At 43.8% G+C, this 14427-nt stretch overlaps 1 protein-coding gene across 12 annotated transcripts in view, besides 2 other annotated features; it reads right to left on the bottom strand.

The window, feature by feature from the left end:
* The window catches only part of SV2B (synaptic vesicle glycoprotein 2B), a 202978-nt gene that overhangs the window by 175179 nt on the left and 13372 nt on the right, over window positions 1-14427 (bottom strand). The window lies entirely within an intron of this gene.
* Window positions 10706-11015: an enhancer, noted in NCBI's record as "active region_10108". NCBI's record gives its function as "activates an Ori minimal core promoter by ATAC-STARR-seq in GM12878 lymphoblastoid cells {active_cell/tissue: GM12878}" and the evidence as "EXISTENCE:reporter gene assay evidence [ECO:0000049][PMID:35858748]".
* Window positions 14189-14349: a silencer, noted in NCBI's record as "fragment chr15:91656268-91656428 (GRCh37/hg19 assembly coordinates)". NCBI's record gives its function as "represses an EF-1alpha promoter that drives an FKBP-Casp9 reporter gene in an ReSE screen in phorbol 12-myristate 13-acetate-treated (for megakaryocytic differentiation) K562 erythroleukemia cells {active_cell/tissue: K562(+PMA)}" and the evidence as "EXISTENCE:reporter gene assay evidence [ECO:0000049][PMID:32094911]".

Here is a 14427-nt window from a genome sequence, read left to right as displayed (position 1 = left end):
AGCCACACAAAGGGCACAGTTGATCTGTTTCCAGCCTGGCCTCTGCCCGTTAATTAGAGTATCTCAAAAATGCTTAAATGTGCCTCCCACTCTCCCCACCTTGTCTTGTCCACACCCTTCTCTTTTCTCTGAGATGAAGCTAAGCATCCCAGAGGGAAGAAAGCAAAAAGAACATTTTGTGAATATCCACCTCGTGCCCAGCTCAGAGCTGGAAGCTTGACATTCATTCAGTCCTCAAAAAAAGACCTGCAATGTAGGTATAATTATCATCCCATTGTATACAGGGAGAAACTAAGGCAAGCTTAGAGAGGTTAAGCAATTTGCCCAAAATTACACAGCTAGTGATTGATGGAGCTATCATTTGAGTCCAAGTTCTTTCATTCCAAAGCCCATGCTATGTGTCCTATAATGTTGAAGTGGTGAGAGTGAACACCCTTGTCTTTTTCCTAAACTTGAAGGGAAAGCATTCAGTCTTTCACCATTAACTATGACGTTGTTCACTGTGGGGTTTTTAGAAGTGTCCTTTATCAGGTTAAGGAAGTTCCCTTCTATTTCTAGTTTAAGTATTTTTATTATGAAAAGGTGTTGGGTTTTGTCAAATGTTTTTCTGTCTATTAAAATGACTGTGTAAGTTTTTTCTTTTATTCCATTAATGTGGTATATTACATTGATTGACTTTTAAACATTAAACCAGACTTGCATTCTTGGGATAAATGCCATTTGGTCATGGTGTATAATCATTTTCTTATGTTGCTAGATTTTGTTTGCTAGTATTTTTCTTGAGGATTTTTATGTCTATATATCCGAGGTATTTGTCTATAGTTTTCTTTTCTGTACAGCAGCAATAGGAAACAAATATAATATCCCAGTCCAGGGTCTGACTCTTACCCTAAATCAAGCCAAAGACCTGGCTCATCAACCCTGCAGCCACAGGTCTCTCTCCCACTATTATCTCCAGATGGATATATCAACCAGAATGTCACTTTACTTATCTGCAAGGAGAGCTCTACCTGTAAGACAGAATCCTCATCTTGGCATGATCAGCACCTCCTATCAGACCAACACAGGAAGTCAACCCATATTTGGATGGAGGCTCAGGAACACAGAGTTGGAACAGGCAGAAGCAGATGAGTCACTGCTCTGGGTCTCCATCTTGGAGCCTGCTGCCCTCAGGTGCACAGTAGGCACAGCCTTGCCAAAGGAACCCTCATACCTGAATTTGTTAGCTAGATGCTGTCTTTCTTAGGTGGTATTTGGAACTCAGTGCCAACATCACCTTCTGAGAGGCTCCTTTTTCTTTGCATACTTAGCTGACCAATCCCTCTTAAGAGTGCTAGATGTGTTCTTTCTTTAGATTTGTGACTATTAAGTAATCCATTTAAAGCACTTAGAACACACACCCAGCCAAAAGTAGCACTCAACAAACATCAACTATCATCATCATCATCATCACCACCACCATTATTGTTACCAATATATTCAGTTCAGTTAGGTTCAAGTACAGTAGGGTTGGGGACCCTTTTCTCTCTTTAAGGTGACTTTATTTTCTCACTCTGCTCTTTATGCCCTAATTTTAAATGACTGAATTTTTTTTTTTTTTTTTTTGCCCCTTGAGACAGGGTCTCACTTTGTCACCCAGGCCAGAGGGCAGTGGCAAGAACACAGCTCACTGCAGCCTCAAACTTCCAGGCTCAAGCATTCCTCCCACCTCAGCCTCCCAAGTAGCTGGGACTACAGGCGTGCACCACCATGACTGGCTAATTTTTTTGGTATTTTGGGTAGTGACAGGGTTTTGCCATGTTGCCAAAGCTGGTCTTGAACTCCTGGGCTCAAGTGATCCTCCTGCCTCAGCCTCCCAAAGTGCTTGGATTACAGGCGTGAGCCACTGCGCCTGGCCAAATGTCTAAGTTCTTAAGGGAAGCCTCACTCCTTGCACTGACTGCAGAATGATGATCATACAAAGGCCGCTGGGATCACCGTTGGATGATTTATAAAGTCTTTTCAGTAAATGAGAAAACATGTGACGTCATGAGTGCAGTACCCGGCACAGAACAGAAACTCAACAAGTGTTTATACCCTCATGCACTGCTAGGCACTGAATTCTGTCCCCTCAAAATTCATGTGCTGAAGTCCTAACCCCCAGAACTTCAGAATGTGACCGTATTTGGATAAAGCCTTTCAAAAGAGTTAATTATGTTACAATGAGACCTTTAGGGTAGATCCTAATCCAATCTGACTAGTGTCCCTACAAGAAGAGAAAATCTGAACATACACAGAGACCCCAGGGTGCTTGCACCAAGGGAAGGCTATGTGAACAGGTAGCAAGAAGGCAGCCATCTGCAAGCCAAGGAAAGGGACCTGAGTAGAAACCAACACTGACCACACCCTGACCTTGGACTTCCAGCCTTCAAAACCACCAGAAATAAATTTCTGGGCTGGGCGCAGTGGCTCACACCTGTAATATCAGCACTTTGGGAGGCCGAGGCGGGTGGATCACTTGAAGTCAGGAGTTCGAGACCAGCCTGGCCAACATGGTGAAATTCCGTCTCTCCTAAAAATACAAACATTAGCCAGGTGTGGTGGCTCATGCCTGTAGTCCCAGTTACTTGGGATGCTGAGGCTCAAGAATCGCTTGAACCCAGGAGGTGGAGGTTGCAGTGAGCCAAGATAGTGCCACTGCACTCCAGCCTGGGTGACAGAGTGAGACTGTCTCAAAAAAAAAAAAATTTTTGTTGAAAGAAAGAAATTTCTGTTGTTTAGATCACCCGTTCCATGGTGTTTTGTTATAGCAGCCCCAGCAAATGAATAGTCTTCTTTTGAGAAGAAGTATTTTTGGCATTTGGGGATGGTGGAAAGTTTTAGGATGACTTAAAGGAAGTCCCCCATCCCTCTGCAGGCCTGAAATTCTGTCTTGTGAAGTAAGGAATGCACATTTCCCCCTCCAGGCTCTCTTCCTCACTGGCTCTTGGCTGCTGCACCTCACACTCGGTTGCAGGTGTCTCACTTCCTGAGGAAGGAGGTGCCATTAGCTTCACAATCCTCCCAAGAGTCCTGCCTGGGAAGTCGTGCCTCACAGAAGGAAACACCACTGGCACCACAGACACAAAAACTAAAATCGCAAATGACAGATTCGTGACTTCCCCGAGGGAATAAATAGCATGAACAGATGGGCCCTGAGGCTGGAACATTCATTTAAATCCTTATAGAATTTTGATAATTTAATGAATGTGGTGAGAAAAGAATGGCAAACCAGTACCAGCAAGCCAAAACACAGTTTGCCCACCTTGGTGTTTACCCAGGATGATTTTCCCATAATGAGGAGTGCAACAAGGTGACATGGACAAAGTATTTTCTGAGGGATTTCAAGCCTGTCTGTGAACTAGCAGCTTGCAAGCTGAATATTTTCTCTAGGTACCTCTTCAAGGCACCTCTCTGGGCAACAGTGCCAGGTGATTTCTAGGTAAGGGAGTAATTTATAGATATGCCTGGGACACAGACCAAGTGTGCTTAGAGCCCAGGGTCATCTCCCCTGGAGATCACTTGTCTGATTTTTCCAAACTGTCAAATCCTGCCTGTTCCCAATTAGTCTCTCCTTGCTCCTCTCTGGAGACCTTCAGTGAAGACACGCCCAGAATAGAGAAAGGAGTAGTGCATGAGGAGTCCGAAGACCTGCATCACAACTCTACCGCTCCTCACGTCTACTCTTCAGAAAGTGCTAGACAAATAACTGGCCTTCAGCAAATGCAAATCCTCAGGCACACCTCCCCATTTGTGTGCCATAAGTCACACAGTATGCACAGGGACCACTTTTGGAGTTTTTACTGCATGAATGGAACCAGATCCCGTCTCCCTAAGTTCTCCCGGGGTACCCAAGTGCAGGCTCTGTGGTTTTATGGCCTACCTACACTGTATCTTCCTCAAGCTCTTATTTCTTTCTTTTAATTGACAAATAAAAATTATGTATATTTGTTATATATAAAATGTTGTTTTCAAATATGAATACATCGTGGAATGGCTAAACCAAGCTAAACCTCACAGACTTATCTTTTTGTGTGTGTATGTGTGTATGATAAGAACACAAAATCTACTCCCTTTGCAATTTTTTGTTTTTGAGACAAGGTCTTGCTCTGTTACCAGGCTGCAATGCAGTGGTATGAACATGGCTCACTGCAGCTTTAATGAACTCCCAGGCTCAAGTGGTCCTCCCACCTCAGCCTCCCAGGTAGCTGAGACTACAAGCGCACACCACCATGCTTAGCTAATTTTTGTACTTTGTTTTGTAGAAACAGGGTTTTGCCATGTTGGCCAGGCTGGTCTCAAACTCCTGAGCTCAAGTGATCCTCCCACCTCAGCCTCCCAAAGTGTTGGGATTACAGGAGTGAGTCAGCACACCTGACCAGCAATTTTCAAGAATACAATACATTGTTATTAACTATAGCTACCAGGTTGTAGAATAGACCTCTTGAATTTATTAATCCTGTCAAACTGAAATTTAGTATCCTTTGACCAACAAGGATCTCCCCAACACACTCACTCCAGCCCCTGGTAACTACCATTCCACTCTCTACTTCGATGAGCTCAACTTTTTTAGATTCCGTTTATCAGTGAGATCAGGCAGTGTTTGTCTCTCTGTGCCCGGCGTATTTCATTTAATGTAATATCCTCCAGGATGAAGCTCTTATTTCAATAGATGTCTTGGAAAGTACAGGACTAAGAACAGACAAATGATTGGGGAAGATGAGCCCCAGGTGCAAAGTATCTTAATGGAACGTCCAGTTTTGTTAAATCACTCAGACAAAGCAGTCACTAGAAGCAGCAAAAAGGATGGAGAGGAAACCAGGATGGGGGAGTCTGCTCTGCAGCATGCATGTTGGCAGAGAAGGAGAAGCAGGGTGAGGTGTCCAAATGGCTTACAAGGCATAGGGATCAGAGAGTCAACCCAGCAGGAGAAAGCTGAGCCATTAAAAATTATTCAGACAGGGAAATCAACCCCAGCCATTCCTGCTTTCTAGACTGTTTCCCCAGGGAGGATGTCTGGAGACTCCATTTGTGTACAGCATGACTTAATTCTTGATGGAGGAGGGAGAGGATATCGTTGATCAACTCCTTCTCTGAATCTGACTCTGTACTCATTGTACCTGCATCTACGACACCCCTGGCTTTAATGGAACATATATCGATGAGATAATACATTTCTAGTAGCTGAGATAGTGGGAGTCCAAAGAGGAGATGGTTTAGCACATATTGGGAGTTCAGTCTTTGGCGTCAGACTCCTGGAGTCAACAGGCAAGCATTACTTTTAAAACACCATTGGGCCGGGCGCAGTGGCTCACGCCTGTAATCCCAGCACTTTGGGAGGCCAAGGCAGGCGAATCATGAAGTCAGGAGATCGAGACCATCCTGGCTAACATGGTGAAACCCCGTCTCTACTAAAAATACAAAAAATTAGCTGGGGGTGGTGGCAGGCACCTGTAGTCCCAGCTACTCGGGAGGCTGAGGCAGGAGAATGGCGTGAACCCAGAAGGCAGAGCTTGCAGTGAGCCGAGATCGCGCCACTGCACTCCAGCCTGGGTGACAGAGCGAGACTCCATCTCAAAAAAAAAAAAAAACACTATTAATATATAAATAGATGGTTTCTTGAGGTGAGCGCGAAGGGGAAAGGAGTGGTGTAAAGGAATTAATTCCCTGGGCAAGATAAGCACCCATGTGGTTCAAGAGAGCTGGTGTTCAGATCTTATTTGCATTCATCTCTAAGCCAACTCTGCTTTCTTCCCTTCCAGCTAATGGGTGCCCTGCTCGGTTTGCCCACATGTCAAGTCTACCTTCAGACAGAAAAGAAAAAAATATAAAAAGGTAAAAAATAATGACATAATAGACATGAAAGAAAAAGAAGCAAGATTCTACCCAAGAATTATGGGAAAATAAAGCAATAGAAACAGTAATAATAATTGAAGGTTTGCTCTGTCACTGGGTCTTGGCTGCACATTAGGATCATTGGGCAGCTTATTTTTAAAAAATTCAATTTATACTCCCATCCCTAGAGATTCTGGCTTAAGTATTCTCAGGAGGGTTAGGGGGGAAAATTAATAAATTTCTCACTTGATTCTAAAGTACAGCCAGGATTGAGAACCACAGCACTAGATAAAAACTCGCCTGAGGTGAAGAAAACTTTGACTCGAAATCAGCGGTGCTCACTAAACTTCAAGCAAAGTTAGCCTTACCTTAACACTTTTTTATTTCAAAGAGAAAAAAAAATGAAACGAGTTACTAACATAAGACCAAAAATTAGCGTGTTAAAAGACTAGTTCTCTGCCACCTTAAACCATGGGAAACAATTTGCAAAAATCTTAAGCGAGGGGATGACTGTATAGACTGCAGAGGTTAACAGTTCAGGCTTCAGAATCAGAAAGTCTTGAGTGGGTGCTGCAGCTCTGCCATCTACTACCTGAATCATGTTGAGAAAACTGGAAGGATTAAATGAGATATTGAATTTAAAGAACTCAAAGCCTAGATTGTATTAAGTTCTCTATAAGTGAAATGTTTCTTTTACTTTTTCTTTCTTTTTTTTTTTTTTTGAGACAGGTTCTCACTCTGTCACACAGGCTGGAGCAGTGGCACGATCACAGCTCACTGCAACCTCAGTCTCCCAGCCTCAAGTGATCCTCCCACCTCAGCCTCCCAAGTAGCTATGACTACAGGCGCATGCCACCACACCTGGCTAATTTTTGTATTTTTTGTAGAGATGGGGTTTCACCCTGTTGCCCAGGCTGGTTTCCAACTTTCGGGCTCAAGGGATCTGCCTGCCTCAGCCTCCCAAACTGCTGAGATTACAGGCATGTGAGCCACCGTGCCTGCCCTCTATTCTTATTTTAAAATACAAAGCATTTTTAAGAGACAAAGTAATATGGTTTGGCTCCATGTCCCCACCCAAATCTCATGTTGAATTATAATTCCCAAATATTGGGGGAGAGACCTGGTGGGAGGTGATGAGATTACGGAGGCAGATTTCCCCATGCTGTTTTCACGATAGTGAGTGTGTTCTCACAAGATCTGATGGTTTAAAAGTGTGTGGCACTTCCTCCCTCACTCTCTCTCTCCTGCCACCATGGGAAGAAGGTGCTTGCTTCCCCTTCACCTTCCGCCATGATTTTAAGTTTCCTGAGGCCTCCCAGTCATGCTTCCTGTTAAGCTTGTGGAACTGTGAGTCAATTAAACCTCTTTTCTTCATAAATTTCCCAGTCTCAGGTAGTCTTTTACAGCAGTGTGAAAACAGACTAATACAAAAAGCCTTGCTCTGGCGCCCAGGCTGGAAACCATACAAATACAAAATCAAAGGCAAATCGATTTGGAAAATATTTGCAACACTTATGAGAATATTTCTTATAAGTATTTCTTATGAGAGTAACAAGGAGAATAATATCTTCAATATATGCGGAGCTTTTACAAATATGGAAAACACTAATGCTTAATTTAAAATGGACATACAGCATGGAAAAACAATGTTTAGAAGGGGACATACAATCAGTCAATAAATAAAAGTGCTCAATCTCATAAGCAATCAAATAAATGAAAAATAAAATATTTTCTCACCTAACAAATTGACAATGTTTTATTTTCCTTCTAAGGATAATACTCATTGCAAACAAAGATGCATTGAGGGGCACATGCATAGTGCTAGCTGTCAGGTTAACTAGAACAAGCTTTCTACAATGCAACTTGGCAGCATGAATGAAGAGCTTTATCATTTATAAGTTTTCCTATTTTCCAAATTGTATTCAATGGCAAATACCACCTTTCTAATCAGAAAGAAAAAGTTAATAGGCATAAGGAAACCAGCCACCTGGCTGGAAACTTGAATATTCACTAATTTCAGCAATAGATTTGGGTAATTTCCAAATCCATGGCAAACGCAAAGCTTGAAACGAGTCGCACTCTGGGTATTGTATCAGTTTACACAATCAGAGCCAGGAGTGGGGTTTGTCACTTGCTAAATTCAGGCAGGTCACCAAATGGCCCAGATCTAAGCATGAGAACAAATGAATTGCTGGCCGTAGCTCTGTACTCGCGTCTCAAATGACAAAGTACCTTAGGAAATCTTAACTTCTTTCTTCATCCATTGGAGCTATTTAATATCTCCCTGAGAGCTAAAAGATTGTCAAATTAGAAAAGGATTTATCCTTAAAAAGATAGCTCCTACCGTTGGGGAAAGCTTATTCCCTTAGAAATGCCAACCCTTTGCTCCTTGCAAAGATATGCTCCCTGCCAGCATTTTATTTATGTATTTTGGACCCTGCCTTGTTTTAAAAAGTGAAGCAACTGGCCAAGCATCCTGCAGAGGATTCCATCTGCTACAGGCCAGACAGAAGCTGAGGATTAGGAGTAAAAGCCGGGAGCCCCAAGCGGATCAGCCAGCACGCCCACCCCCACAGGCCCTGCCTCCAAGCCGAGACAGCTCATTCACCAGTATATAAAGTATTGCAAGTCTCCACACAGAGCCGATGAGAGGAGGCAAGAAGCTATGAAGAGGAACCAGAAATGGAGGAAGGAGGCAGATTAATTTTGTTCATTCAAACAAGAATGAGTGAAGCGTAATCACAGCAAGAGCTATTATGATGATGATGACAGAGAGATGTCCCTCCCTGGCATGGCTCTGGTTTGGACTGGGCTGTCTGATGTGGTGGCTTCTGTGTATAAAGTTTTCTTGAGACAGTGTTCAGCCTCACCTCGGCCCTCTTGGGCAGTAGGGAGCCTCTCAGAAAGGGGCAGCTGGGTCCCGCTTCAGACCCTCCAGCTGTCCACACACCCAGCCTCTTCTCCAGGCAGATTTCCTCCTTTTGTGATTGAGCCTGGACAGCCCTGGGGCTCCTGCTCCTCCCCTACACATCAGGCTTCTTCCTGTGGAGCTTTCTGTACCTTCCCAAGCCCTCAATGAATGCAAAGGAAAAAATGTTCTTTTCTTCCCTTAGCACTGTACTACCACCCATCTTTCTTGCTGGCATGGGCTACTCCATTAAATCAGCTGCCTGCCAAAATTTCCAGACTAGAAGAGGCACCAGGCTCTATGTCTTCTATGCCCCAAACTCCAGGGCACACATCAAACCCTCTAAAGCACTCTCCTGAATAGTAGACTCCATTCCACCAGAACCATGGATCAGCAAACACCCAGCTAGGGTGCAAGGTACCCTGTCTCCCTTTTTGCAAGCATCTCCACTCCCCATAAGGGAGTCTCTTGGAGGCCCTTTTCTTGGTTTTATGGGGAACAAAAAGTGTTTCACCTCAAGCTAGTATTTGTTACAGGCCAAGATTTCAAAAATTCTACCCACTTTTTTTAATCCCTCTACTTACATAGACCCAGGGGCTTAGAGTTGTGGGTCCCAAAGCCAGTTTTGATACCTCTTGAAAGTCATGAGGAATTCCAGTTATTTAACAAATAGAGTGTCTAAGACTTTATTTTTAGCTTTGCAATCTGAATGCCCATTCGGGGCAATAAAAAAGTCCCACTCAACATCTTGTTACATAGGGAACTTGCTTTGGTAGATCAAATTTTTACTCCCAATTCTTTTCCCCCATGTAATATGATTATAATCCACATTCTTGCCATGTCACTTTGCCATGTCTTCTACTGTGAGAAGAGTATACTTTCGCACTTTACTGACATGGGTTTGGGTTTGGCCATGTCATTTGCCTTGGCCAATGAAATGCTAGCAAACATGATGAGTGCAGAGGCTTTAAATATACTAGGACAGTTTAACATTCCTCATGTCCTCCTGCCATTTGGCATGAGAAGAAGGAGAAGAATATGTCCCTGGTAGCTGCTGGTAGCATCTGGTGGAGAGATGAGAGATGCCTGGAGCAGACCTGAACTTGACTTACAGCATGAAGGAGAGCCAATCCCAGTTGACTGGCCACCTCATAAGTAAGATAAATATAGTTTGTTGTATGAGCCACTGCAATAATTAGGGCTATTTGTTAGGCAGCATTATTGCTATACAGTAGCAGCTAATTAATACCCTCGCTATATGTCCAACATTGTGCTGAGCACTGTATTGTCTCCTTTAATTCATTCCTTTTAACAAGTGTGTAAGATAGAATTCTCGTTAATATTATCCTTGTTTTACAGGTTAGGAAACTGAGGTGCAGAGAATTTTAGCACAATTAGTAAGTGAAAGAGACAAGCTTCAATCCCAGCAATCTAGCTCCAGACCGATACTCTTGCCACCATGGAACAAAAAGCAGGAGACAAAGATGTGGCTCTGTGCTCTTCTAAGTCTGCATACTGGTACAGACCTCAGGCTCAAAACCATTGTGACTATTGATATCGTTTGCCTGTGTCCCCACCCAAATCTCATCTTGAATTGTAGCTTTCATAATCCCCACATGTCATGGGAAGGACTTGTTGGGAGGTAACTGAATCATGGGGGCAGGTTTTTCCCATGCTCTTCTCATCATAGTGAATAAGTCTCACAAGATGATGGTTTTATAAAGAGCAGTTCCCCTGCACATGGTCTCTTGCCTGCCGCCATGTAAGACATGCCTTTGCCCTTCCTTTGCCTTCCTCCATGATTGTGAGGCTCCCCCAGCCACATGGAACTGTGAATCCATTAAACCTCTTTTTCTTTATAAGTTACCCAGTCTTGGGTATTTCTTCATAGCAGTATGAGAACAGACTAATACAGCCGTTTATGAGTTCCCTATCAGTACAAGCCTGACCAGACTGCAAGGGCTGAGGCAATTTTTCTAGCTCTGTCAGTGCATGCAAAGAGGATAAGACAGGCTTCCCTTCCAGAATGCATGACCCTTCTCTGAACTTTGAGTAGGGAAAGTCCCACGGGAAATTCTAACCAAGAAACAATCCTGTCATTGTGAAGTGCAGTCATACAACGTTCTGCACGGGATGCAGAGCACACCTCATTCTCTGCCTATTTTTATTCTCTCTAAGCAAATATCTGGGGCTCTCAAAAATTATTACACAATTGCCAGCTGCTGGGATTATACAAATAACGTGACAATAGCAAAGCAATATGCTGACCGGTGTTCAAACACCAACACACAACAGCAAAGCAGCCAGGGGTGCCAGTCCTCATTCACAGCCTGCAAACAGAAGCAGCACAAATGAAGGCCACCCACTCCCTCCTGGTTTTAGGAAAACAGAGTAGCAGGCAGTTTGACACCGAGATGGATTTTTTACTCTTCAACTTCCAAGATGTCCTATGCACAGGGAGAATGCAAGGTCATGTTCTTTAGCAAAATGTTCTTCATAATTGTGATTCAACAATGTACCCCTTTCTTTAACCAAGTTAGGACTTCTGATGAGCAGCAGTTGGGCTTAAAGGTCTTCAAATTATAAGCAAGCTAGAAATTCTGAAGCATATAATAATGTATTATATATGTATATTTATGTGTGTGTGTATGTGTGTGCATGTACTCTGTTAAGGTGTATGTGAAACAAAGCTTCTTTACAAACTTCTACACTATACACCCTGAGGGCAGAGATCACGTTTTCCTTACCTATCATTAACTCTGATGCCTAACACAATGAGAAGTCAATAAACATTTGCTGAATAAATAAATAAATGTAAAAGGCATTTTAGGGAGAATTATATCTTTGAATTTTGCATAGTTTAATTCTTAAAATGCAAGACTAGGGCAAGCAAGGAGATGGTTATAAAAATGTGAACCCCTTAGAAACCCCTTAGAAAAAAATAAGGAAGGCCAGGCGCAGTGGCTCACACCTGTAATCCCAGCACTTTGAGAGGTCGAGGCGGGTGGATCGCTTGAGTTCAGGAGTTCAAGACCAGCCTGGGCAACATGGCGAGACCCTGTCTCTACTAAAAATACAAAAAAAAAAATAGCCAGGCATGATGGTGGGTGCCTGTGGTCCCAGCTACTCAGGAGACTGAGGTGGGAGGATTACTTGAGCCTGAGAGGCAGAGGTTGCAGTGAGCCAAGATCACACTACTGTACTCCAACCTGAGTAACAGAGCAAGACTCTGTTTCAAAAAAAAAAGGAAGGGGAGATGGAGAAATAGCCCACTTTCAAAGTCGTCAACACTCACCAACAAAGGTAGCACTGTGTTATCTTTATTTCAGCAACAGAAGCCAGCTCAGTGTGTGTGGTGGACGTCTGTGGGTTTCGCCTGCTCAGGACCCATGTCCTCTTCTTTCAGCAACAACTCTCCAATTTTCCTTTAAAGGTAGCACTTTGTAATCTTTATTTCAGCAAGAGAAGCCAGCTCAGCGTGTGTAGTGGACACCTGTTGGCTTTGCCTGCTCAGGACCTATGTCCCCTTCTTTCAGTAACAACTCTCCAGTGTTCCTTTAAGAAACTCCCCTTTCCTCACTACCTGCCATCTTGGGAGTCATAGTGATGGTGCCCTCAGGAATGGGCATGTGACCCCAGTTGGGCTAGGCTCTCTCATCCTAGATTGTGCATCACGAACTGAGCACACAAAGCTAGAAAATGGCTGGAGGACTCAGACCCTGGGACGTGTTTCCAAATAGCCCATTGATTAGCAAGGGAGCAGGCTGGGCTTTTGACAGACAGAGTGGGAACTTCCCGAGAACACAGCATGGAATTTCTGTCAATACACGAGCACTCCCAGAGACCCGTTCTTCTGCTCTTTCAGCTAGGGCCCTTTTCCTGAAGCTTTCCCTGGAGCCTAGCACAGAGCACAGAGGAGAACTCTAGGCTGGAAACAGTGATTCTCATCATAAAGCTGCTGCAAGAAAACAGTTACCTCCCCTCTTAGGCCTCAGTCTCTTCCTCCATAGGATTAAGAGACTGGGATTAAATAGCCACAGAGGAACCTTGTGTGTTGAGTCAATAAAAACGGACCCCTTGGGTCCCTGGGCGCCAGCAACACCAAGCTCACATTGTCAGGGCCAGCGAGGCCTGGAGTTTAAAGCAGTTAATCCCTTGGCTGGATGACTCCGACAAAGAGGATTAACCTCAGATGAGAGAGTTATCATCCAAATATAGAGCAATCCCAAGCACACACATTAGAGATAGGACGTTTCCCCATCTTCTTGTGTAAACTCTTGTTCTCTCACCCTTGTGGTGAACTCATAGATTAACCCTCCCAGCACCTCAAGGTTAAGGTGTTAGACTGTCCAGACCCTCTCCATGTTCCTCTAACACCTTTCTCAGTTCTCCAATCCAGGGTACATTGTTTGTCCCTTTTTTTTTTTTTTTTTTTTTTTTTTGAGATGGAGTCTTGCTCTGTCGCCCAGGCTGGAGTGCAGTGGCGCGATCTCGGCTCACTGCAAGCTCCGCCTCCTGGGTTCGCACCATTCTCCTGCCTCAGCCTCCCGAGTAGCTGGGGTCTCTTTAAGGCACTTTAAGTTTGGAAAATAACTAACCATTGAGCACCTACTATGTGCCAGGGACTGTGTTAGACACCGGAGCTACAGTAGTAGACAAGGTGGCACAGTCTTTCTCTCAGGGAATCTATAGTCCAGTGGGAAGGCACCTATTATTGTGCACAATGTACCCTACTACGCACTGACAAACATGATCTCCTTCAATGACTCAACAATCCCAGAAAATAGACCTTACTGCGACTATTTTAAAGATCAGGAAATTGAGGCTCTGTGAAGTTAAACTTGTCTGAGGCTATGCAACCTGTATCAGAAAGAACCTCTGGGTTTAAAAATGATATGGGATTCTATAATATATTCCTATTATTTTGTAGAAGTCAGAAACAATGAGAGAAGAAAAGGGAAAATATTGAACTTCAGCCTTTTCAGATGTATATGCTCCTGGTATATTCATCGCGGGAAAAAAGTTGGATGTTTACCCCAGTCGTTTTCTCTATTAAAGAGCACCCAGGCTACAGGCAACCCAACAGCCCAGCTATAACCTTTTAATCTTTATGTTATCAAGAAACATGCCTCTGGATCCTCCTCAACTTGTTCCCATAAGCTTATGAGAAATAGCTCATTGAAATTTCAGCTTCTGTGTGGGTGAAAGTCAGCTAAACTACTGCAACAAACAAACTCTAAGATGTGTGTAGTTGAGCATAGGCAGAGTTTATTTCTCGCACTTGAGATAGCCTCATGCAGGGGCAGCCAATAGATGAAAAGGAGCCTGGAAGAGCACACCTTTCTCACCGCATCAACAAAACTGTTACGTGGCCACGCCCACTTGCAAAGGAAGCCTGGAGATGTAGTCTATGTGCCCAGGAGGACGAGGAAATGAAGCCAGCTGGTCTTTGCCAAAGGCTTCTAAACTGCATACTTAACATGATTACATCTGGGTCAGGCATAGTGGCTCATGCTGTAATCCCACTGCTTTAGGAGAGGCCAAGGTGAGAGCACCGCTTCAGGCCAGGAATTCAGGACTAGTCTGGGCAAAATAGGGAGACCCCATCTCTCAAAAAAGAAAAAAATTAATTTAATAAAAATTAGCCAGGAATGATGGTGTTTGCC

Source organism: Homo sapiens, chromosome 15 (assembly GCF_000001405.40).
Source record: "Homo sapiens chromosome 15, GRCh38.p14 Primary Assembly".
NCBI classification, from domain to species: Eukaryota; Metazoa; Chordata; class Mammalia; order Primates; family Hominidae; genus Homo; species Homo sapiens.
This window is presented reverse-complemented; position numbering and strand designations above follow the sequence as displayed.